Raw genomic sequence first — 25,994 nt, 5'->3', positions numbered from 1 at the left:
ACATGGAGCAAACTTTTTAATTTTGCACTGCATCCTGCTTATACATAGGGGTATGTGTGTGTGTACATAATCTTCAAAGGGAAAGGGACTTTACTATTTGTCTAATTGAGCATTTCCTCTTACCTCCATTTTATCATTCTCCATGCTTTTCTGTTACACAGATGCCTCATTATTGTTTTTGCTTTCATTTTTATACATATTTACCTTTCATTTATATATTATATAAATATATATATATACATACATTATATATAATTTTTTTTCAGACAAGGTCTTGCTCTGTCACCCAGGCTGAAGTGCAATGGTGTGATCTCGGCTCCCTACAGCCTTCACCTTCCGGGCTGAACCAATCCTCCCACCTCAGTCTCCCAAGTAGCTGGGACCACAGGCGTGCACCACCACACTCAGCTAGTTTTTGTACTTTTTGTAGAAACAGGATTTCATTGTATTTCCCAGGCTGGTCTTGAACTCTTGAGCTCAAGCAATCTGCCTGCCTTGGCCTCCAAAAATGCTGGAATTACAGGTGTGAGCCACTATGCCCAGACTCGTTTTTATATTTTGAATAACACCAGTGGTGAATACTGATATAATCCTTCTAGTTATTTTTAAATAAATATAGATTAATATATATGTATATTATTACTTTTTTACATACATGAGATCATACAATCCATCTTCAGTCCTATTTCACTTGAAGACATGCATTAGAGATCTTTACAGATAGGCACATATAGATCATCATGATTTCTGGAGATTACTAATGCGACAGTCTGTCCTCCTTATCCATGGGTTTTACATCGGTGGATTCAACCATCCTAAATATTCAGAAAAATAAATGGATGGTTGCATCTGTACTGAACATGTATGAAAACTTTTTTCTTGTTATTATTCTCTAAAAATACAGAATAACAACTATTTACATAGCATTATATTGTGTTAGGTATTATAAATAATGTAGAGATGATTTAAAGTATATGGGAGGATGTGTGTAGGCCATTTGTAAATACCAAGCCATTTTATATAAGGAACTTGAGCGTCCATGAATTTTGGTACTTTTGGGGGACAGAGTCCTGGAACCACCATGGGGTAACTATAATTTAGTAGGTCATCCATAAGTTATTACAGTACCCTGGGATGTGATTTATCTGAATGGGAAGGTCTGGATTATTTTAGTGCAATAGGTAATCTCTTGTTATTTCTGCATATTTCGGACTTCAACTGCCTTTTGGCCACGTTTACTCTACACTTTCCAGCTTTGTAAGACTATTTTTTTTGTTTGTTTGTTTTTTGAGACGGAGTCTCTATCTGTTGCCCAGGTTGGAGTGCAGTGCCACAATCTCAGCTCACTGCAAGCTCTGCCTCCCGGGTTCATGCCATTCCTCTGCTTCAGCCTCCTGAGTAGCTGGGACTACAAGCACCTGCCACCACGTCCAGCTAATTTTTTGTATTTTTAGTAGAGACAGGGTTTCACCGTGTTAGCCAGGATGGTCTCGATCTCCTGACCTTGTGATTCACCAGCCTCGGCCTCCCAAAATGCTGGGATTATGGGCGTGAGCCACAGCACCCGGCCTGTAAGACTATTCTTAATAGAAAGATAGAAACAGTATAGGAATGATGTCATTGGCCTACCACCCTCTCTTCTGTAAAAATTATGTAAATTATCTTAAACAAGAGACCTAATTCTTCCTTTTTATTTTTCTGCTAAGTAGCTAAAAATCTTATTTGGTTGGCTTCAAGGTTTTTTCCTTTGCCAATAATCTCTACTTATTCTGGACTTTTATATTTTTGGACAGTGTTTTCACATATTCATGTCATTCTTTGGTATTCATTCTTATCTCCTCTTTTTGTGAAGTGTGCTTATCTCCTTCAAATCTGAGCTCAGCAGACAGTTCCCTGGGCTACGTTACGTGCCCCTTTGCTTTATCCTCACTGAAATAATTAAGTTACTACTAATTAAGGTAATACAGAGAATCCCCCTCAACAACTTCTCGGTAGTTTATTTGTTAGAATCTCTGATAATTGATCAAAACAATTTTCTTTCCTCTTTACAAATAAGTTTCAATTCTTGACTCACATACCCAAAATAAGCATAAATAATGAGGTTTTGAGGAGACATTAGTAGTATCCAGGTACAGAAGAAGTACATGTGCCTAAACCAAAGCAAGCCCAAAGTGGTTTAGTATTAGTCATAGCATTAGCAGAATGAATGAATGAATATATGCATGAATTTAAGACCAGGACTTTATAATATTTGCTCCTTTAGATGAACATATAATTTAGCTAATCTTTTTAGTTATTACAGGGTTTTTTTCTTCTCAATTTCCTTTCTTGCATTTTAACCTTGATTAAGCTATGGAGTAAAATCATAAATTAAATGTAAAATTCTTACATTTTTTGAAGGACTGATTCCTTAAAAAATCAGAGTCTCAACACAATAGTAAGATATTGTGATTTTTGTCCTAAAGCAAAATGGGATACAATAATAAGGGATGTGACCACTGATCTAAATTGTTGTAAAAGAGTAAAATTAAATCAGAACTCTGAAATAATATGAGCACATTCTTTGTGTGTTTACCTTTTTTGGTCCATAGCTTTTATCAGATTCTGAAAGAGGTTATATACCTCCAAATATTAGAAAACACACAAGACACAATTTTATAATAATAAAAACAGACGAAATTAACATTTTAGCATGTATTTAGATATGTAGACTATGTTAATTTCAAAAGTCAGTTGTAAAGCTCTTGTGATAACTGAAAATAAATTCACCATCCACTTTTGATTAAGAGGCCTAAAACTAAATTATGATTTTAAAACTTGTAAGGTATTTTCCACATTATGCTCTGTTTTAACTATGGGTTCTGTAGAATATATTTCTATATTAGTTGATATGATCATATGATATTTTTTCAGCCTGTTAATGTGACAGATTACATTGATAGAGTTTTGAATGTTAAATTAGCTTTGTGTAATTAGAATAAATCCTACCTGGACATGGGATATAATTCTTTTTATACATTGTTGGATTTGATTTTCTAATATTTTGTTGAGGATTTTTTGTCTGTCTTTGTTCATAAGAGAAAGTGGTCTGTCACTTTCTTTTCTTGTAATGTCTCCATCTGGTTTTAGTATTAGGGCGACGCCTCATGGAATGAGTTAGGAAGTATTCCCTCTGCTTCTAAAGGAGATTGTGGAGAACTGGTGTTCTTTCTTCCTTCAATGTTTGGTAGAATTCACCAATGAAACCATCTGGGCCTCCTGCTTTCTTTTTTAAAAGATTAATAATTATTGATCCAATTTCTTTACTGGCTCTAAGGCTATTCAGGCTATCTATATCTCCTGGTATGTGTTTTGGTAGTCTGTGTTTTCCATGAAAAAATGGTTCATTTCATCTAAGTTATCCAATCTATTGGCATATAGTTTTTTAATAGTATTTATTTGTTATTTTTTTTTTCTGTTAACTTTATTTCTGATGAAATATTAACTTTTTTGCTTGTTTTAGGCTTAAGTTTCTCCTCTCTAATTTTCTAAGGTAAGCTGAAGTATCACATTTTAGATATTTTTCTTTTACAACATACGCATTTAATGCTATACATTTTCTTCCAAACATTTCTTTGCTACACCCCACAAATTTTAGTAAATTATAATTTTATTCTCATTTAGTTTGAAATGTTTTTAAATTTCTCTTGAAACTTCTTCTTTGGCCCATGGATTATTTAGAATTATGCTTTTTAATATTTATATTTCCAAATATTTGTGAATTTTCTAGACATCTTTCCTATTGATTTCTACTTTAATTAAACCGTGGTTGGAGAACATACTTTGTATAATTTTCGTGTTCTTAAATTTGTTGAGGGTGTTTTATGGTGAAAATGTGGTCTGTCTTGGTAAATGTTCCTCAGAAGCTTGAGATGAATGTATATTCTGCTGTTGAATGGAGTAATCTATAGATGTCATTAGATCAAGGTGATTGATAATACTGCTCAGGTCATCTATAGCCTTGATTTTTTTGCCCACTGGCTCTATCAAAGGGATGGTGAAGTCTCCACCCATAACATTGACACAGGGATGGTGAAGTCCCGCCTCTAACAATGGATTTGTCTAGTTCTCTTTTCATTTTTATTAGTCTTCTTTCATGTATTTTGACACTCTTGGTAATGCTTCCATGTTTACGATTGTTGTCTTCTTGGAGAATTGTTCCCTTTATCCTTATGTGGTACCCCTTTTTATTCCTGATAATGTTGCTCATTCTGTAGTTGGCTTTGTCTGAAATTCATTTAGCTACTCCAGCTTTCTTTTGATTACTTTTAGCATGATATATCTTTTTCTATCCCTTTACTCTTAACCTGAGTGTTTAAGTTTAAAGTGGGTTTCTTGTAGATAACATATAGTTGTATCTTGTCATTATCCACTATGACAATAGTGTCTTTTATTGGTGTATTTAGACGATTCACATTTAAGGAATTATTGATACACAGTTGACATTTGAACAATACAGGTTTGAACTGCGTGGCTTCTCTTTTTTTTTTTTTTTAGTGTTTGGGTGACCCCAGGCAATTTTATTACTTTATCCCTGAACTTCAGTTGCCTCATCTATAAGATGGGGATAATAATAGCACCCATTTCATAATTATGAAGATTAAATACATTAAGGAAAACACTAGTATGTGCCTAGCACCTGGTAAACACTCAACAAAGGTTATCTGTACATATTGATATCTCAGACAGGGACGGAATGTTTAACAGAAAACAGGAGGTTTTAGCCACTCACTTGTTCTCCTGGCTCCGGAAACATGAGCTGCCCCGCCCCAGTTTGTCCAAGCCCATCAAGATAGTTGTCCTTGTCCTTAATCTCCACAGGTGTTCAATGTGAGCCAACTGTCAGATGGCATTCATCTTCACAATTGAATAACCCATTTATGCCTAGTGTTCCATTATTGGAACGCTAAGCTTATGGGAGTTATTTATATCCTACTGTTCAAGGTCATTACCAAGATCTGACTTTTCACACAAAATAATTTGCAACCTCCAGCATAAATGGGATAATTGTGGCAGTTTTGGGGAGACGAAACTTTAGAGTTTAATCTTCCAGCTTGACTGACTTGGAAGCATTCCTGTCAATATAAAAGATCTTGTTCGGGGCGGTGGAGAAGCCGAGGCCGGCTCCGCGGCTGTACTTTCAGCTCATGGCCAGGCCATATTCCCGCTGCAGGCTCTGCTGCAGACTGTCGGCCACCTTCTTACTGAGGGCCACGTTGGACCTTGCAATCGGGCTGGGTGGGGCGGGAGGGTGGGGGTGGGGGTGGGGGCTAATCGAAGGGGACAAGTTTTTGAAGCCACCCGTAAGTTTGAGAAATTTCAGTTTCTGTTCCTCGTTCTCAAAACCAGCAGTATCCCACTGGCCAAACTGGCTTCCCGTCCACTTCCTGGTTTCAGAAGCTTCCGTTTTGCCTGACTGGCGATCAGTCTCTTCTTGCAAGGCCTTTCGCCCCTGGTCTATGTGCGCCTAGTCCATGTTGCCTTTCTTTTCCAACACCACCTCCAAGTCCGTGTCTGTTTCCTCCTTTCAAGGGTCTCCTGCTACCCCACTCTCTTTCCTTTTCTTTTTCTTCCTTTGCAGAGCCGGCTCCTCAATGACTGGCTGCTTTACCTTCTTCTTGGACTTCATCTTTTTCTTCGCGGGGGTTTTAGGGCCATCTCCTATGGGGATGTATTCCGGAGCCTCCACTTTGACTGGCTTCTTTTTACTTCGTTTCCTAGGGCAGCTCTCCATGGACCTGGAGGGCTTGGAGTGGCTTGGGAGGGCGTCTCCCTCCTGGTGGATTTTTTTTTCTTCTTCGCCTTCCCACCGTGTTCCCTGGGGCTCTTGTGCTTCCGCTTCTGCCCCAAGGCTACCTGTTCCTCACCCTCCTTCCCCACTGAGCAAGTGTCCACAGCATCCCCGACCTCGCAGAACCAAGGGTCCTGGACTGAGAAAGCTGTGGGGTCCTGGGCCCCCTTTTTTTCCTTCTTAAGTTTTTTAAGCTTCTTGCCAACTCTGGTTTCCTCCTCACCCTGTCTGGGGTCTGGGGAGATTTTCACCCCAGAGGCATGGGAGATGGCCAGAGATGACTTCCTTTTCTTCTGCCCACTGAGGAACTCCAAATGGCCAAGCACCTGGTTCCTTGGGCTGGATGACTTCTCTGTCCGTCTGGCACGCAGCGTGGTCTCAGGTTCTACGTGCCCCTCGCAAAGGGTGCTGACACCCTTCTCTTTCTTCTTTTTCTTCACTAGAGGCATCTCAGGTGCCTGCCCGTGGACCACACTCTTAGAGGGGGCTGTGGCTTTTATAGGAGAAACATGGGCAAAGTAATCATCATTGTTTAAAATTGAGTATTGAGTCCCTGGTTCTTTGACCACTTTCTTCTTCTTTTTCTTCTCTGGGATCCCAGGGCCCAGGTCTACTTTCCGGTGGGCCAAACTTCCCCGCCTCCACGTGAGAGCCGGCTCCGCCGTGACCCGGAAGTCCACTTTCGGGTTGCACGCGTGGCTTCTCTTACACACAAATTTTCTTCCACTTCTGCCACTCCTGAGACAGCAAGACTGATACCTTATTTTCCTCCTCCTCCTTGGCCTACTCAACATGAAGATGATGAGGATGACGACCTTTACGATGATCCACTTCCATCTAATGATTGGTAAATATATCTTTTCTTCCTTAAGATTTTCTTAATAATATTTTCTTTTCTTTAGTTTACCTTATTGTAAGAATCCAATATATAATATATTTAATACAAAATATGTGTTAATAGACTGTTTATGTTATTGTTAAGAATTCCAGTCAACAGTAGGCTATTAGTAGTTAAGTTTTTGCGTAGTCAAAAGTCATACACAAATTTTCAACTGCATGCAGGGACAGCACCCCTAACCCCCACATTGTTCAAAGGTCAACTGTAATTGGATTAATAGCTACTATATCTGTAACTATTTTCTCTTTATTGAATTTGTTAATTTTTTTTTTTTTGCCCCTTCTTTTCCTGCATTTACTGGTTTAACTGAGCATTTTATATGATTTCATTTCATCTTCTCTCTTCATGTATAAATCATACTGTTTTTTTAAAATTGTGGTTTTCCCTAGATTTTAAGATATAAGTTTTTTTTTCTTTTTTTTTTCTTTATTATTATTATACTTTAAGTTTTAGGGTACATGTTCACAATGTGCAAGTTAGTTACATATGTATACATGTGCCATGCTGGTGCACTGCACCCACTAACTCATCATCTAGCATTAGATATATCTCCCAATGCTATCCCTCCCCCTTCCCCCCACCCCACAACAGTCCCCAGAGTGTGATGTTCCCCTTCCTGTGTCCATGTGTTCTCATTGTCCAATTCCCACCTATGAGTGAGAATATGCGGTGTTTCGTTTTTTGTTCTTGCGATAGTTTACTGAGAATGATGATTTCCAATTTCATCCATGTCCCTACAAAGGACATGAACTCATCATTTTTTATGGCTGCATAGTATTCCATGGTGTATATGTGCCACATTTTCTTAATCCAGTCTATCACTGTTGAACATTTGGGTTGGTTCTAAGTCTTTGCTATTGTGAATAGTGCCGCAATAAACATACGTGTGCATGTGTCTTTTTAGCAGCATGATTTATAGTCCTTTGGGTATATACCCAGTAATGGGATGGCTGGGTCAAATGGTATTTCTAATTCTAGATCCCTGAGGAATCGCCACACTGACTTCCACAATGGTTGAACTAGTTTACAGTCCCACCAACAGTGTAAAAGTGTTCCTATTTCTCCACATCCTCTCCAGCACCTGTTGTTTCCTGACTTTTTAATGATTGCCATTCTAACTGGTGTGAGATGGTATCTCATTGTGGTTTTGATTTGCATTTCTCTGATGGCCAGTGATGGTGAGCATTTTTTCATGTGTTTTTTGGCTGCATAAATGTCTTCTTTTGAGAAGTGTCTGTTCATGTCCTTTGCCCACTTTTTGATGGGGTTGTATGTTTTTTTCTTGTACATTTGTTTGAGTTCATTGTAGATTCTGGATATTAGCCCTTTGTCAGATGAGTAGGTTGCGAAAATTTTCTCCCATTTTGTAGGTTGCCTGTTCACTCTGATGATAGTTTCTTTTGCTGTGCAGAAGCTCTTTAGTTTAATTAGATCCCGTTTGTCGATTTTGGATTTTATTGCCATTGCTTTTGGTGTTTTAGACATGAAGTCCTTGCCCATGCCTATGTCCTGAATGGTAATGCCTAGGTTTTCTTCTAGGGTTTTTATGGTTTTAGGTCTAATGTTTAAGTCTTTAATCCATCTTGAATTGATTTTTGTATAAGGTGTAAGGAAGGGATCCAGTTTCAGCTTTCTACATATGGCTAGCCAGTTTTCCCAGCACCATTTATTAAATAGGGAATCCTTTCCCCAATGCTTGTTTTTCTCAGGTTTGTCAAAGATCAGATAGTTGTAGATAAGTGGCGTTATTTCTGAGGGCTCTGTTCTGTTCCATTGATCTGTATCTCTGTTTTGGTACCAGTACCACGCTGTTTTGGTTACTGTAGCCTAGTAGTATAGTTCAAAGTCAGGTAGTGTGATGCCTCCAGCTTTGTTCTTTTGGCTTAGGATTGACTTGGCGATGCGGGCTCTTTTTTGGTTCCATATGAACTTTAAAGTAGTTTTTTCCAATTCTGTGAAGAAAGTCATTGGTAGCTTGATGGGGATGGCATTGAATCTGTAAATTACCTTGGGCAGTATGGCCATTTTCACGATATTGATTCTTCCTACCCATGAGCATGGAATTTTCTTCCATTTGTTTGTATCCTCTTTTATTTCCTTGTAAGATATAAGTTTTAAAATAATCTATGTCTGCCTTCAAATAATGCTATTGCACTTCAAATGTAGTGAAGTTTCCCTTAGAAGAGTATTCCCAGTTCTTCCTTTCTCTCCCTTGTGACATTGTTGTCGTTCATTTAATTTAACCATTTGCTCTAATCACCCAAAACATTAATAACATACTATTATTTCTTTATACAAACTATTATTTTTTAGACCACTTGATAATTAAAAAACTTTATTTTACTTTCCTTTATTACTTCTCTAATTCTCTTCCTTTCTTTATATAGTAGACTCAAGTTTCTGACTTCTCTCATTTTCCTTCTGCTTGAAGAATTTCTTTCAATATTTTTTGTAGGTCAGATCTGCTAGGAATGAATATCTTCAGTTTTTGTTTGTCTTAGAAAGTCTTTCTTCTTTCAGTTTTGAAGGACAAAGTTTGCTGGGTATAGAATTCCAGGATGGTGGAATTTATTCTTGCAATGCTTTAAATTTTTTACTTCACTCCACTGTAATTCTTACCTTTGCTTTTCTGGCTTATTTCCTGTCATCTGGCTTCTTCTAAAAGATTATCTCTGTGACTTTGGTTTTCTGCAGTTTGAATATGGTATGCCTAGATATGGGTTTTTAAAAGTCTTTATTCAGCATGGTGTTATCTGTGCTTCCTGAATTTGTAGTTTGGTAACTGTATTAATTTTCTAGGGCTGCCATAACAAATTACTTACCACAAAATGAGCCATTGATAACAACAGAAATGTATTCCTTCACAGTTCTGGAGGCTAAAAGTCTGAAATGCAGCTGTTAGCAGGCCCATGCTCCATCTGAAACTTCTCTAGGGAAAGAATCCTTTTTTGCCTCTTCCAGCATTTGGTTGCTGGTCATCCTTGGCATTCCTTGCTGGTAGCTGCATCATTCCAATTTCTGCCTCTATCTTCACATGGCCATCTTTCCTTTGTGTGTATGAATGCTTATAAGGACAGCATTCATTGGATTTAGGGCCCACCCAAATCCAGTATGACTTCCTCTTAATTAATTAAATCCACAAAGACCTTGTTTTCAAATAAGGTCACATTCTAGGGTTCTGAGTGGAAATTAATTGAGGTGGTGCAGTCTTCAAGCCCATACAGTGTCTGTCATTAACTTTGGAAAATTTGTGGCCAATATTACTTCAACTATTTCTTCTGCCTGTTCTTACTTTCTTCTCCTTCTGGTATTCCAGTGATGCATATGTTACATCTTTGAAATGATCTCACAGTTCTTGGATGTTCTGTTCTGTTTTTTCATGCTTTTTTTTTTCCTCTTTGCATTTCAGTTTGGGAAGTTTCTATTGACCTATGTTCACTATTTCTCTGTTCAGTCACATCCAATCACTGATGAACTCATCAAAGCCATTCTTCATTTCTGTTCCAGTGCATTTAACTGTTAACATTTCCTTTTGATTCTTTCTTATAGTTTCCACTTTTCTCTTTCATTACCCATCTGTTATTTTATGTTGTCTTCTTTTCTATTAGAGCCCTTAGCATATTAATCATGGCTATTTTAATTTCCATCTGATAATTTCAATCTCTAATATCAGAGTCTAATTCTAATGATTGCTTTTTCTCTTCGGACTGAGTTTGTCTTGCCTTTTGGCATGCCTTGTAATTTTTTTATTGAGAGCTGGGCAGGTTGTACTGGATATTAGGAACTGAGATAAATAGGGCTTTACCATGAGTGTTCATATTAATATAGCTAGGAGTCAGGCTGGGTTTGTGTTTGATGTAGCTATACGTGGCAGAGGCTTCAAATTCTTCTAGCATTCTTGCTTTTGTCTCTCTTGACTTTGGGCTTCCCTAAATACTCCTTCCCAGAGAAATATCTCTGTCTTGCAATTCTTTAGCTATAATCCACTGTTATTATACTGACACCCTATTATGGTGGTGATAAAGTGTGGGTGAGGGGAGAACATTCTATAATCTGATGAAATCTCAGTTTTTTAGTGGGCCTGTGTCTTGGGGCTGAGACCTTCACGAGCATTTCTCCTGTGGCATAGTTTCCCTCTCTCGTCCCCTGTCCCCTAGCTCCCTACTCCTTTTCCTGGCTGCAGGACTCCCCATCTGTTTCCTTGAAGCCCTACTATGTTTTCTCCCTCTTAGGTGATATAGGTGAGACCACAAGGCTAGAGGGGACTGGAGTGGGAGAAATGTCCTTCTCCCAACAGGAATAAGGCTCTGGTAGAATAGACTTTTGTTATGGAAAAGGCTCTGAGTGTGCTATTTCACAGTGATTACCTATCTACTACCTTGCCAGAGCTAGGAGAATATGGATCTTCATCAGTGAGAACCTGGTGGGGTTCCTGGTCCACCAAAGTTGGGTGGGTGCTGTTTAAGATAGAACATTTCTAACTCTCATACTAGTCCAAAGTTGGGCGGGTGCTGTTTAAGATAGAACATTTCTAACTCTCAAACTAATTCACACACAGCCTCCAGCAGGTCATCAAAATTACCATTTAAATGTTTCTGCAAATGTTTGGCTTACCTTAATCTTCTGATTCAGGTAAGCAGATCTTGACTGTGTTTCTCTGGATGTGCCTGTCTCTCCAGATTTTAGAGTAATGGTTTGCCCTGAGACCTGTTTTCTGATGGGTCCCAGAAAAGTCACTGAATTTTGGAATGATGACTTCTAAGCTTTATATGTTAGAGCTGAAACCAGAAACCTATCTTGAGTTATTTTTAATAATTTATTCATAATCTAATTTTCTGCTTATTTATAATAACAAATGTAAAAATCCTTTAAAATGTACAATAATCATTTAAATTTTCTTCACGTATCTGGTCCCATTTTCTTGAATATCAATGTATACCACTGAGATTTGTTGTTTTATCTTTCCTGGCGTTTCTGTGAGGCAGATATGAGCTGTGTGACCTTGGGAAAGTTACTTATCCTCTTCGTGCCCCAGTTTCCTCATTGGTAATATACAGTATTAATAGTACTTGTCTTTTAGGATTATAATGGAGATTAAATGAGATAATGTATATAAAAGCTTAGCACCATAAATACCTGGCACAAAAAAAATGTTCTCAATACATGTTAATTTCTTATTAACACTTTTATTGTCAATCTCACTCTCCAAATAGAAAAAATAAACTTAAAAATTCTTTTAAAAAATTCACTTCTTACTTCTGGATTGTTTGTTTTAGAATTTTCTTCACTTTGACCTGCAGCTGGAGGCTGAGCTGTGGGAGCTGTGGACTTGACCACATTGAAACTTGGTCAGACAAAGTGCCATCATCCTAATTGTGTGCCAGGGCCACAGTTCACTGAATTAGTTCCTCTGAAGTTTCCTTTCTCCTCCTACATGCCAGCGCATAATACAGCATAGACAATTGCTTCAGATCAATTCAACATGAAAGTGGCCCCTGGAGAAAGGCACTAAATATTCTAGTTTGCTAGTCTTTTGCAAAATTTTGAAATTTACAAAAAGAAGCTTTTTAGTCTTCAATTATGATAGAAATGTCGTATTTTAAGATTTCAACTGGTGTATTTTAATTTTATTTTCTTAAGAAGTAACCCTCTCATTCTCAATTTTGCTAGTATTGTATTATATTGGGGTATTGGTGGTAGAAGGAAGATGGGGTGAGCAGCTTCAAAAAAGATTTTGCATGATTCAAAACTATATAACCATAAGCTCATTTCTAAAACTCCATTTACAGCAGGGGCCAAGGCTGGAAGTTCTGACAGTGGCCTTAGGGGAGCATTCTCTCCTGAAAACTGTGGAGTTGAATGATGATGAACACCAGTGCAAACCGGGCACATTTAAAGAAATTCAACTTTAAAGGATGACTGAATCTTAAAAAGTCTTTACATGAACTTCCAATAGGCAGGTTTTTTGCATTTACATGTAGAAGACAGAAGAGATCCAGTTTCTGTGTCATAATTTCTTTCATTTTTTTATTACATTCAATTCCATGAGTCTATTTTACTTTTTATAATATCATTTCCTTTCTCTTGAAATTATGGTAAATTTTCATAAACATGTAAATGTTTTGTTGTTCAATGCTTTTATGCTGTTAGTGGGACAGCAAAGGTTTGTCTACCTAGTATATTCCAATCTAATAGTCTATCCAAGAATGATGGTTTTCTAGGCTTTTATTTAATACATCCAACAATGGAATTCTATAACCTCTTGGTTATTTCTATGAGTGTATAGCATCTTTAATTTGGACCAATTGTTTTTATAATCCAATAGCACTTGATGTAATTACCTTTTAAGGTTATGAAGTACTTTTGTAGCCATCACCTCATTTGATCTTTATAACAATGAGTGAGCAGGGAAGGGCAAGCAGCTGTTGCTAGATCCTGAATAGCCAAATGCACATGCTCTTCTAGAACTGTGGGTATCAAAGCAGTCTTCTAGGAATGGTTTTTACATAAGGGTCTGATGTCTCCTGGTGAGATGTACAGAAGATTTTGCATTCCGTGTTTCTAGGATTGTCATTCCAAAGAAGACATCAAGTTTGCTCCTAATTTTTGGTACTAGGGGTGCAAAGAAATTGCTAAATGTAGGGTACTCCAGAAGGCATAGAACTGATTCTGAAGTAGGACAGAAAAATGACATTAGTCACCATTAAGGAAGGTCTTTTCTAAATAAAATTAATTCCTGGTTCAAAGTAATTCCCCCACCTCCCTAGTTAGTTGATCATGATCATTGTAGTTTCTTTTATTTTCTTTATAGCACTTACCACTCTCTGATCTTATTTATTTTTTTTTTGACAGAGTCTCGCTCTGTTGCCCAGGCTGGAGTGCAGTGGCGTGATCATAGCTCACTGCAGCCTTAATCTCCTGGGCTCAAGTGATCTTCTTGCCCCAGCTTCCCAAGTAACTTGGGAGTAGCCACCACATCTGGCTACCTTTTTATAATTTTTTTTTTTCCAGAGATGAGATCTTGCTGTGTTGCCCAGGCTGGTCTGATCTTTCTGGATGTTATTACTGACTTCCTTTGCATCTGTCTTTCTCCTCTAGAATTCCTGATTTCTTGGAGCATGTACTTGATCTCTTTTTTTTTTCTTTTTTTGTATCACTGAATCCGTAGCCCCTAGAATGATAACCAGCAAACAGTAGGTGCTCCAAAATTTTTCTCCTTGCAACATCAGTTCCAGATATGGGTATGAATAAACTTAAGGGTAGTGTCTATTAAATGATCTTTATGCTGATCTTCAGGGAGCTTGCTGTAATTACTTAGCCAAGAGGACTATAAAACTCTTGCTCAAAAATCTTTATGAATAATTTCAGTTGTTCATATAAAAACCTCTTGTTCATTCAACCAAGTTCTGATCACTGAATGGCTAAATTTCTCTTAATTTGGTCTGTTTTTCTCACCTTCTGTGTCCTCAAGTGTGGCAGTTATGGGAGAACCTGCTTTAAAGAGTATAGTTGGCTGATCACCTCCAGCAGTAGAAACTGCTGATCTACCATGCATTCCTGCCGAGACTCTGGTCTCTCTGGATTGCTTTCAAACAATAACTGAGCATGGTGGGGCTACTAGAGCTAGCCCTTCTACTCCCAACACAGAACTTTTCTATGAACAATCTTTATTCAGGATACTCGAATCCCAACTGATATGTTTGGCTCTGTGTCCCCACCCAAATCTCATGTTGAATTGTAATTCCTAATATTGGGGGAGGGACCTGGTGAGAGGTGATTGGATCATGGGGACGGATTTCCCCTTTGCTGTTCTCGTGATAGTGAGAGAGTTCTCACGAGATCTGATGGTTTAAAAGTGTGTAGCACTTCTTCCTTCGCCCTCTCTTTCTCCTGCTCTGCTATAGTAAAATGTACTTGCTTCCCTTTTTCCTTCTGCCATGATTATAAGTTTCCTGAGGCCTCCCAGCCATGCTTTTTGTACAGCCTGCAGAACTGTGAGTCAATTAAACCTCTTCCCATTGTAAATTATCCAGTCTCAGTTAGTTCCTCGTAGCAGTGTGAGAACAGATAATATGCTGACCAAGCCAGACAAGACTTTCTCAGAGCCACAGTGCCATCTAAAGCCCTTCCCATCCAATCCTGCTTCCTTCCCTCTCTCCTTTCCTAGGTATCACATTGCATCACAGCCTGCCTAGACCTGTTCTCACATCCCTCGCAGGCATTTCTCCCAACAAATCTCTTGCATATCTAATTCCATCTTAGCATCTGCTTCTTGGAGGACCGAGACTGCCATAGCACCATATTCCAGGCCATCTGCGTTTCTCTGTGTGTCACTGCAGCAGCCTTTTTACAGTCCCACACCTTCAATTTTTCTCTCTACCAATTCTCCACATTGCAGCCAGAATGATCCTCAGAAATTACAAATCTCATCCCTTCCTTCCCTGCTTACACTTGCAGGGTAAAGAAACTTCTTTAAAGATGTCTATAGGACTTATCTTCTAGTCTTACTCTCCTGCCTGTCCCTTTGCCACTCCTCATGCCTCCGTAATCTAAATCAACCTGTTTTCAGTTCCACCAATGAGCAGACGATGTTCACATCTGGTACTTGGGTCCATGGTTTCGGAGTTGTGCTCCTTCCTTTCACCTTTTCTCTGCTTCCTTTGGCTCACACCTGTTCATCCTTCATCTCACAGCATGGATGGAATTTCTTCCAGAAAACTTCCTTGCTCTCACCAAGTCTGAGTTAGGTACTCTCTCTATGTGTTCTTATATCATTTTTCATTTCCCCTTTATATCAGTTACTATTCTTTAGCATATGGCAAAAACTGAACTTAAGCTAACTGGAGTCAAATAAAATTCATGAAATCTATTGGAAAGATACTAGAGTGGATCAAAATTAAGGGAAGAACCAAAAAAGGAACAATAGAAAGGCAGCTCAGATGACCTCTTGAGCTGGAATAATGGGCTCAAATGCCCTCAGAACTTTTCTCCCTCTCTTTCTGTGTGTTTGACTCATTCTTTTAGGTTGGTTGCCTCCATAAACTTGGATTCATGGCTGACAGCAGCTCCTGGGCTTACATCCTCACAGCTTGGGGCCTGAGGGAAGAAAAAGCTATTTCTCCTAGCTACAGATAAAAGCAAACAAACAAAAACCAGTAAAGACTCTGATTGGCCAGTTTGTTTTGTGAGTCCACTTCTTTCCCAGTCACTTGCCCTGGGGGGTGAGCAACTATACTATTGAACCATACTATTGAAGAGACAAGTTTAGATCTTATATTCAGTCCTCAACCAATCACTATCTTCAAGGAAGAACATGAAAGAAAAGGACCATACAACTAAAGCAGTGGGAAAACCCACTCCCCTAAAAAATAGAGATTTTCAGAAGATGAGGAAGATGCTATATTGAAAGAAAAATATGTATCTATCTATAAAGCTTAATAACTGCATTCAGTTACAGGTAACAGAAAACAGCAAAATATTGGCCCAAAAATAAGGGTTTTATTTGCCTCCCAAAATGAGAAGTCCAGAGGTAGGCAGTCAATGGGTCTTGGGAAACTTTCTAATCACTTCTAGAATCCAGGTCACTTCCTTATTCCTTCTGAGCCATCCTTAGCGTGCACTTGTCACTCCTAGCCGTGAAATTGCTACTCTAACTTCTAACATTATGCCCATGTTTCAGGCAAGAAGAAGGGGAAGGGCAAAAGCATGTGCTAAGTCTGCTTGCCTTTTGAAGAGCTTTAATAGAAGCCCAACTTAGAGACTTTTTCATTGGCAAGAATTGTGACCCTTGGCCACCTCCAGCTGTGGGAGAGACCTGGAAGCATAGGATGTTAGCTGGACACACTATTGACCCAAACAAAATCATGACTCTCTTAATGAAAAGAGGAAAATAGATATTAGGTAGGCAATTAGTAGTACCTCTCTTGTAAGCCAGACAATCCAGCTGAAAGGGTAAAAAAAAAAAAATTACTTCCAGGACTCCTTAAAAATATCATTCACAGATGGCTTTTGTATAAGATGACAACAACAGCAAAAAATAACTACAACTTCTGGGGCTTACAAAGTACCTGGGACCAACACAAAGGAAGTACTTGGGGTGGAGGGTGGGAACCCTAGTAATTGATGATGCAGGACTGTGTTCTGGCATGACATTTCTTAAGGGACTGGGACTTGATCTTACCCTCCTGTTACAAGCTGATATGTCTGCCTACCATGGTTTCATGGATGTTGCCACAGAACATATGAGATTCCTGAGTCAGACAAAGGACTATCGCCCATGGCAGAGCAAGCAGCATGAGCATCATTATGCTTGCATTGGTTCCTCAGGGGAGACATTGAGCTTGGAGAATCCACCATTTGAATGGAAAGCAGTAAGCAAGTCTGCTTTTTGCCTGGGAGGGAGACATTACTTACCCTCTAGGTTGCTGCCTGCAAACAATCTGAGTAATGGTCTGGGTAAAGAGCAATTGGGGCATTGCATTTTTGGCAGGCCCAACAAGGTGAGCAGGGATGCAAAAGCCTATAGGAGGACTATTTCTTAAAACAATTCATCCCTCAATCCTGTGCAGGATTAGCTTCCAGTGAATTTTTATGAGTATACCACTTTGTTGGTCACTCTGATGAACTTGACCTACAGAGGTTGGGAACAAATCTGTTCAATTTGTTTTGTATAGCACTTATTAAAGGGTTCTATTAACCAAACTTTAAGCAGTAGTATGAGGCCAACCAGAAGTCTCTATAGACCTCATCCAAGCCTCAGAGGGTCCCAGTTTCAACCATCTCTGAGTAAATCTTAGGGGGACCAGTATGTCTTATGTTAGACAGCCAGGATGTAGTATAAATTCAGTCAATTATCCATTACTACTCACAGAAGTTTAAATGATCTTTGGTATTGTTGTCCATAACTACAGGGAATTACCAATAAAACAATCCTCATTTGTAATGGAGAGACATTCATGGCTCACTTTCCCTTGCATAAAAACACAGGTCACAGCAGTCAGGGATGTGTTGTGAAATTTGATTTGGATCACCAATACCTTGTTTCATTTAAGCCACCTGAGTAGTGTTACCAACTAGTTGCAGCCTTGATGTTACACATGGCATAACCTAAGGATGCTAGGGCACCAGGAGAAGCAGATGAGTTTTTATCAGCCAGAATGAAACAAGGTTGTGTCAATCTGTGTGTTTGTACATATTCAAGAGGAGTCTATGTTTGAAGCTTCTCTCTTTCTTTTCTTTTGTTTTTAGAGGCAGTGTCTCACTCTGTTGTCCAGGCTGGAGTGCAGCGATATGGTCATAGCTCACTGCAGCCTCGAACTCCTGGGCTCAAGGGATCCTGCCACCTCAGCTAAGGCCTGCAGTAGCTAAGACTGTAAGCATGTGACTCTACATCCTCCTAATTAAAACTTTTTTTGTTGTTGTTTTGTAGAGACAGGGTCTCCCTATATTGCCCAGGCTGGTGTTGATCTCTTGGGCTCAAGCAATTCTCCCACCTTGTCTTCCCAAGCCACTGGGATTACAGGTATGAGCCATTACACCCGGCCTGAAGCTTGTCTTGATGGCAGAATGAACAGTTTGGGGCCAGCCAGGTCCTCATGAGCTTCTCTGATTTTATAGCATAGAGATGGGGATGATGAACCAGCAGCGTGTCATATTGCCGGCTTTAGCTTTTTGCCTCAAGCAGACCATGTGATTACTTGCAAGGCTGTGGTACTGGGACAAAGAGAGCATTAATTGTTCCTACCTCACACCTAGCACCTTTCCTGGTCTGAGGTGTTCTCTCTCTATGTCTGGGCCATTCCCTCTCCAAGTGTGGGAGCTGTTCTTCTTTCACAGCCACAAAACTGATGTGTCCACTCCAACAGTTAGAGCTTTCCTTTTCCCTAATCACCTCTGACCCAGACTTAGGTTTTTTGTCTGGAAGGAAGAGGTACACATGAGACAATGAATTTTCACAAAACTTACAGAGACCCATTATGCTCCCCATTTTGACCCATGTGGGCCATGTAGGGGAGCTCAGTGAACAGTGTACTAAACCAGGTGGTCATCGTTCTTATGATCTATGACCTTGTTAAACCCAAGAGATAATCCTAGCAGAATTAAAACTTGAATCCCCTAGGCCCACTTTTGATTGGGCTGCACCCAAGGAATGGACTGAACAGAATGGCCCAGAGTTGCTGTCAGGGAAAGAGAAACATGGTATGCTAAGGAATGGTAAGCATTACAGGCTATACACACGGTGGGATCACATGGCAGATGAATAGCCAAGCTTGGAGAATCTGATGCTTTTATAGCAAGCATCTACTCTTTGTTTTGGAGGGAGACATTATCTTATCCCTCCAAGTTTGATTACTGCAAACATAACCCTGAGAAACGGCCTGGGTAAAGAGTGGTCAGGTCATTGCATTCTTGGCCTACCTGGCATGACCTGCAGCAGCAGGCGAGACCCATAGAGGAGTGTCTCTCCTTATAGGAATCTAAGAAATGGTCCTCAGAAACTCTTTACTGTTTTCACTGATAGAAAGTTTGTCTTAATGTTACTCAGTGTCCTTGAGAAGGCCCCCAGTAAAATGTTCTGGTTTGGTCTTAGTTTCAGGAATAATTGGGCTTCTCCCTAACAATTGTAAATATTGAAATGGACACTTTTTCTTCCTTTTGGCTGCTAGAGAGGTTGAAGTGAAATGTGTGGCTCAAATCTAGCACAGTCCCTGGCACAACTAGGTCTTCTATAAATCATGTTAATAAGGATACAGAATTTTAAAGTGGGATGTACCTTTTGTGGCTCCATTTTATTCCCCTGATCTCTTATCCTTTTGTCTCATTTTCACAGTTATTTTAATTTAAAACTGTAACAAAGATCCATAACTCTTATTTCCAATAAGCTGGAATTCATCTCCGGGTCTTCTACCTTCTATTCCAGGCTCTGCATTATGTCTAGTTCTATTCTCTTTGAAGTTGGAGAACAGCTGGTTAATACCTTTATCTCAAACGATTTGCAGAGAAGTCATTCAATCACGCTTCATCTGTCTCCTCCTTCCCTGTTGGTTCTATTTCCAATGGTTTAGTCAGTTTTGTTGTTTTTCTGTGTAATCCAGATTCTCTTGTGTTTTGTGCATGTAGACCTAGACCTTGCAAAAATAGCCTTTATTAGATGTTACTTTGAGGATTTCTTCTCATTTTCTTTCAAGCCAATTCAACATTCTTAGATCTTTCAGCTATGTATATTATTGGATAACCAACTTAAAGCAATTTTTATTTCCACAGACAATACCATACTCATTTATGGTATTGTCTATGTCCCTATCATTTATGTCCCTTGCCCCTCATCTTGTTTTGGATAAATCTTGTCACTATTTCCTTCAGTTTTTTTTTTTTTTGGATTGGAAAATTTACAAGGCTTTCTATGTTATAATTTCCTGCCGTAGGAAGGCAGAAAAGTGCATTGTTAGCCCCTATGTCCAGGTAAACACTCAGCATTCAGAAGCTGCCAGCAGGATTCAAATATTTTTTATTATATAAGAGTTTGATCATTTACTTGCTTAGGTAAAAAATATTAAATATAGCTGAAAATTTACTGGACCTGTCACATGGTCAAAGAGATGGCTGAAATAGAAGTGGTTCATGACCAAATCTGGTCAGTGGAGTAGTGATCCAATTGATTACTCTGTCCTGGAGCAAAACTACCTGGATAGTAGCCATTTTGTGCGTGCAAAACAGTTTAGTCTGAATGGAAACACTTAATTTATTCTTTTTTAAAAAATCAACCCATGAATGAAGTTCTGAATTTGATGAGCATCATAAGAAAGTAGGGGTTAGAAGTCCCAGATACTTAGAGACTAAAAATGTATTTGCTCTTCAAATAATTTTCTGAGATTCAAATAAGAAGGACATTTGTTTAAGTGATATTTTTAAACACCCTCTTTGTTTTATGTGCTTTTCTTGAGCTTTCATTTGTTCACCATATTTCACATATCATATAATGCAATTGGTGATACCATGTTGCAAAAATTTGGTACCACCAAAATTATATTTGATACCAAAAATTATAAAGAAGTAACAGAAACAGGAGTTATCATGAGTTCACAGACCCAAATACCTAAACCCTACTGGGACCCAAGCTTAAAATATTATTTCCCTGCTTGACAATTAGTTCTGTTACCAGTTTTGAAGCAGCGAAGCATATGAATCATTCCTCTTTTCTTTATAAATAAAATCAAGGTATCTCATTGCATATAAACCTCCTCTATATATTTATGATAACATTTTATAGCAACTGAGAACACAGAATATATTGTGTAAGCTAAGTCTGAAACAAATGCACATATTGAAAAAAAGTACACGTGTAAAACTACTTCCCCCACATTATATACTCATTTTTTTAAATTAAAGGAAAGAAGTAGAACTGAAAACCAGTAAATTAAGAGACAAGATGTGGCGACTGTGTGTTGTTTCACTTGAATAGAACCAATTTTGTTTTTCCGTCTGGTTTTTCTCCCAGGAAGGAAAAAATTTAACAATCAGAGTAATAAACACTTTTCACTTATAATAAGAGCAATGTGACTGTGGTTTTGGTTGTGCAAAGTATCTGGGTTTTATACATTATTTCCACTTTTCAAAACTGTGGCTAAAGAGGAGTTTCTTCTAAATGCATACAAAAATCGGAAAGTTTTAAAAACTAGAATTCATTCTTTAGTATATATGCTGCCTCCCATTTCAGTCAACGTCGGCAACAAAACCAGTGTTGGCAGTTTTACCAACTGTTTTTCACCAGTTCAGTTGGTTTTGGCTCTCCGTTGTTAATATAGTACTACCGATCCTTAATTTGTAGAACCACAGGGGGATGTTTAAATAAAAGAACACTCGATTTCATAGTAGTTTTTAAATGAAAACATATGTATCTGTAATAGGGCTTTAAAAGTTTTGTTTTGTTTTGTTTTGTTTTTTTCAGTAAGAGCTTAATGTGTGGCATCTGTTAGGTATAGGGTGCCTTTTTCAGTTTTTCCGAAGAGGTACAGTAGACCCAGGAAAGTTAATAGTTTCGATGTCTATATCTCAGATGTTATGGGGATTAAGAATGCCCAAGGAAGATTATTGTCAGTTATTTCTCCTTCCTTAGATAATCCCTTAAATATTTTAGAAGAGAAGGAGCAAGAGAAGAAGATCTCAAAATACTTTTTCAACACTGGCTGGTTTTGAGAAGCTCACTTTCAAAATTTGATATGGACATTGCATTTGACGAGACAGGTAAATAAACCTGTCTCATCGGGGACTCTTATAAAAAAGTATTTTAAGGTTCCTTTGAAGGGTATCAGTGTTTGGGCCCATAACTGCTAAACTTAAAATTGACATCGTAACGTTATATGTTACTCTCTTACTAACAGAGTAAGGGTTGACAAACTACCCTAATTTAGAAAAATATAAAAATGGATAATTCATAACCATTAAGATGACATATTTGGTCTCTTGTATCACCTAAATTTCCCTCTATCTCCTATGTCACAGGATTTTTTTTTTTTTTTTTTTTTTTTTTTTGAGACCGAGTCTCACACTATTGCCAGGGCTGGAGTGCAATGGTGTGATCTCGGCTCACTGCAACATCCGCCTCCCTGGTTCACGCGATTCTCCTGCCTCAGCCTCCTGAGTAGCTGGGATTTTAGGCGCCCGCCACCACACCTAACTAATTTTCTGTATTTTTAGTAGAGATGGGATTTCACTGTGTTGGCCAAACTGGTCTCGAACTCCTGACCTCGGGATCCACCCGCCTCAGCCTCCCAAAGTGCTGGGATTACAGCCATGAGCGACCGCGCCCAGCCGTCACAGGATTTCATACTTATTAAGATCCCTCTTTCTTCTTTAGGATTCCCAAGTAACTTGTCTCTGCTATTTTTAATGTATATGACCGAATAAATTCAAAATGAGCCTTATGAAAATAGGCTAAGGTCAAACATTGTATACTCCTAATATCTCCTAGCAGTCCATGAATATCTCCAAATACGTTGGAGGGATTGAGATGGACTCAAAACTTATTAGAGAATCTTGAATACTGTGGGCAGTGTAAAGCCCTCTCCTATCAATAATATTTCTTGTTGCCTTGGGAGGCAACTAGAATATGATGATGGAAATGATACAGAGGTCAGTTATATGCTTTTATTTCCCCCATATTTTGAGAGCTGCATATGGTATATATCTGCCCATAAATTTATGTATGCATATTATGTATACATCTGGGTGCATATATTGAAAGGCAGTATAGCGGAGTGGTTAGGGAATGGGTCTGGAAGCCAGATTACCTGGGTTTGAAGCCAGGCTCTTTCACCTGCTATTCGTATAACCTCGGGCAAGTTAGTTACATAACCTCTCAGTGCTTCAGTTTCCTTATCTGTAAAATGATACAATAAAATTATGTACCTCATGGAGTGGCTGTGAGGATTAAATACGTTTATATACATAAAACACCTAGAACAATGCCTGTAAAATGATAGGAATTCAAAAATTGTAGCTACTTAACAATATATTGTATGCATTTTTATATACATCATATGGATACATACATATGTATATATATATATAATACATAATCGCCTTGCCTCCAAAATAAGACAATTTCATACACATAAAATATATATAAATGTCATATATATACATACACACGCACACACACACACGTACACTCCATGTATAGCACATTTCGATTTTCTTGGAAATTTCAGTTATCTAATGACCAACACGAGTGTGGATACCAACATAGCTGATGACTGGCATGAACATAGTATACATTTGATATTTTATATCTATCTATTTAATGAAATAATACTTGCCACTGAAAACTGGCCCTAATATAACATGTACATGGCATCAAGGTGAAGTGAAAAAGCTCAAGCATGACACTGGACAATGGATTTGCATCCTGGGTCAATCACTTAAAAACTGCATGGTCTTGGACAAGTCATTTAACCTTTCTGAGCTTTAGTTTTCTCATCTGAAGAACAGGGATGTAAAATTTCTTGCAAGTTTGTGGTGAGAAGGAGACACAAAATACATTTTTAAAAAAGCATTTGGCCAACATCCTGGTACATAGCAAATGCTTAATAAATGGAAACGCTGATCTTTAATGTGTCAGTCCCGCTACAAATTAGGGTATTTTTTTTTTAAGCCCAACACAAACAAACATCCCACTGGAAGTTTTTGATCAGCTATGCTGTTGCTGTATAATGATCATGGTTTAGTCTTAAGGGCATGTGGTTTCAATAACTATATGTGGTTGGAAGTTATGCTGCCTGTAGGAACGAAAGGAGGAAAGAGATTGGTGTAATTCAAGTTTCACCAGTATCTCACTAGGCAGTTTTGGAACTTTGTGCCTTCTCTCCCTCTGGCTTCCCTTCTTCTGCCAGTAGGAAGCCTAGTGGCCCCAGAAACGGTTACACTCAAGAAGCAGTAGAGGCTGAAAATCTGCGGAGGTGGCACTGCTTTGCTTGGTGGGGTTAGGCCAAGCAGGTAGGTTCGTAACCTACTGGTCAGGTGCCAGAAGACTTTTTCTTCCCTGGGTGTTGTCTGAGAGAAAGGGATTACGACCCAGCAGATGTTCACTGTAAATGACAATCCCTTTTCAAACGTTAAGTATGTTCATATAAGTAGTAGCGAGAGGCAACTTGTTTTGTAGTTGGGCCCTGTTTGCTTCTTGCACAGTATTTAAGGAACTGGGCCTGACATAGTAATAGCTAACTTTGTAAAGCAACTACATATGTACTATGAGAATAAACCATTCAACAAACAACAACAACGACAACAACAACAACAACAAAAAGAGAAGAAACCATTCAACATACACTGGGAACTCTTAGAATAAAAGTAACACTTAAATTTAAGGTGGAGTACGATCATCAACGAATTCTTATGCCATATGTGCAAGTGGCTCTGATGTGAAACTTGCATGGTAGAGAAAATGTAAGGAAAGGAAACATATAGGAAATGTGTTTCATGCACACACACACACAATTTTTTCACACAGTTGATGAAGCTACATTGAACCAGCAATTTGAATATTATTATTATCCATCTCTCTCATTAAATACTTAGGAACACATAGTAAAATTGCTTAAGGATGGACATTTAGATTGCCATATCCAGAGTTATATCCAAGCAGCAAATGATTGCACTGCTTATAAATTCTAGGCAGATGATAATTTAAAGTCCCCACGAAAGCCCTGAGCTTATTTGATTGTTCTCTTAATTACTGGGCTCTATGCTATCAAATATTTGTGTAAGAGGAAGCTTTTCTTTGTGGGAGTGGATAATAGCTGTGCTTACACTTTGAAATTTTTGCCTTGAGTTATTAAGATTTACATTTCTCACTTTTGTTCCAGGGAAAGGTGTTTAGCCGTTTTTAGAAAACAGGTACCACATAATCAATCATCAAACACCCGGGAAAGTTTCCGCCCTTGACAAGTGTAAAATCTCAGGTATTAGCAACCCACCTCCAGAAACAAATCTACCAAGGGTGGAAAGGGGTAGAAAGGATGTCTCACTTTCCTAGGTGAATATATTGTGATTGGTATGTGTGGCATGCATTGAGAAATTACATTTGCTTACTAACTGCCGTTTAGAAATCAGCCCGAAAAAGTCTGGGAGAGATCGCCCAGAGACAGCCAAGCCCCGAGCCTCGCTCCCAAGCTCCTCCGGAGTCCTGCTCTTCTAGGCGCGTGAAGAATAAATAGAGTCTGGTCATTGATCTCCTGATGGTGTTGTTGCACTCTGGGTAATGCTGGGGGTGCCCAGGGACGCGGCGCAGTCCATGGTTGCGCGTCTGCAGAGAATTACAGAGATGGGGACAGAGAACACGCACCTCGGCATAAAAGCAAAAGGAGAGAAGGCTACAGCGAGGAAAAGAAACGTGTTGCTCGAATTGTTTCCTTAGTCCCCTTTCCATCACCCCCTTCCCAACACGCAGCCACCCCCGTGAATGCTCTCCCTTCCCCCTGCTCTTTTCTGGACACTAGCTCTGGGAAGATCACTGTCAGGAACCCCCGCCCCCGCCCCACCCTGGTTTGAGATTTAATAGGATTTTTTTCCCCTGGCAAACCGGCAGCTGTTTTAAGTCAATGAAAGTAAGATTAGAAGAGATAAGCGCCGGAGCAGCCCGGGAGCTGTCAGAGCACACACTTAAATCAGCCCCACAGCTTCTGCTCAGGGCATCACCGACGGAGTTTCTTCTGATGGGGATGGGACTCTGAGGGTCTCTCTCGGCTCCACGCGCCCACTCAAGTGTCG

At 39.0% G+C, this 25,994-nt stretch overlaps 1 long non-coding RNA gene and 1 pseudogene across 1 annotated transcript; one reads left to right on the top strand and one right to left on the bottom strand.

The window, feature by feature from the left end:
• On the bottom strand, nucleotides 4,533-6,512 carry KNOP1P1 (lysine rich nucleolar protein 1 pseudogene 1; annotated as a pseudogene).
• LINC00477 (long intergenic non-protein coding RNA 477) lies at nucleotides 5,465-22,669 on the top strand. The gene is made up of 4 exons (NR_029451.2): nucleotides 5,465-6,677; nucleotides 17,976-18,099; nucleotides 21,844-21,971; nucleotides 22,425-22,669. It is a non-coding gene; the product is annotated as a long intergenic non-protein coding RNA 477 (long non-coding RNA).

This window comes from Homo sapiens, chromosome 12 (genome assembly GCF_000001405.40).
Source record: "Homo sapiens chromosome 12, GRCh38.p14 Primary Assembly".
Lineage (NCBI taxonomy): Eukaryota > Metazoa > Chordata > Mammalia > Primates > Hominidae > Homo > Homo sapiens.
Note: the sequence above shows the minus strand (reverse complement) of the source record. Positions and strands in the feature narration are given on the sequence as shown.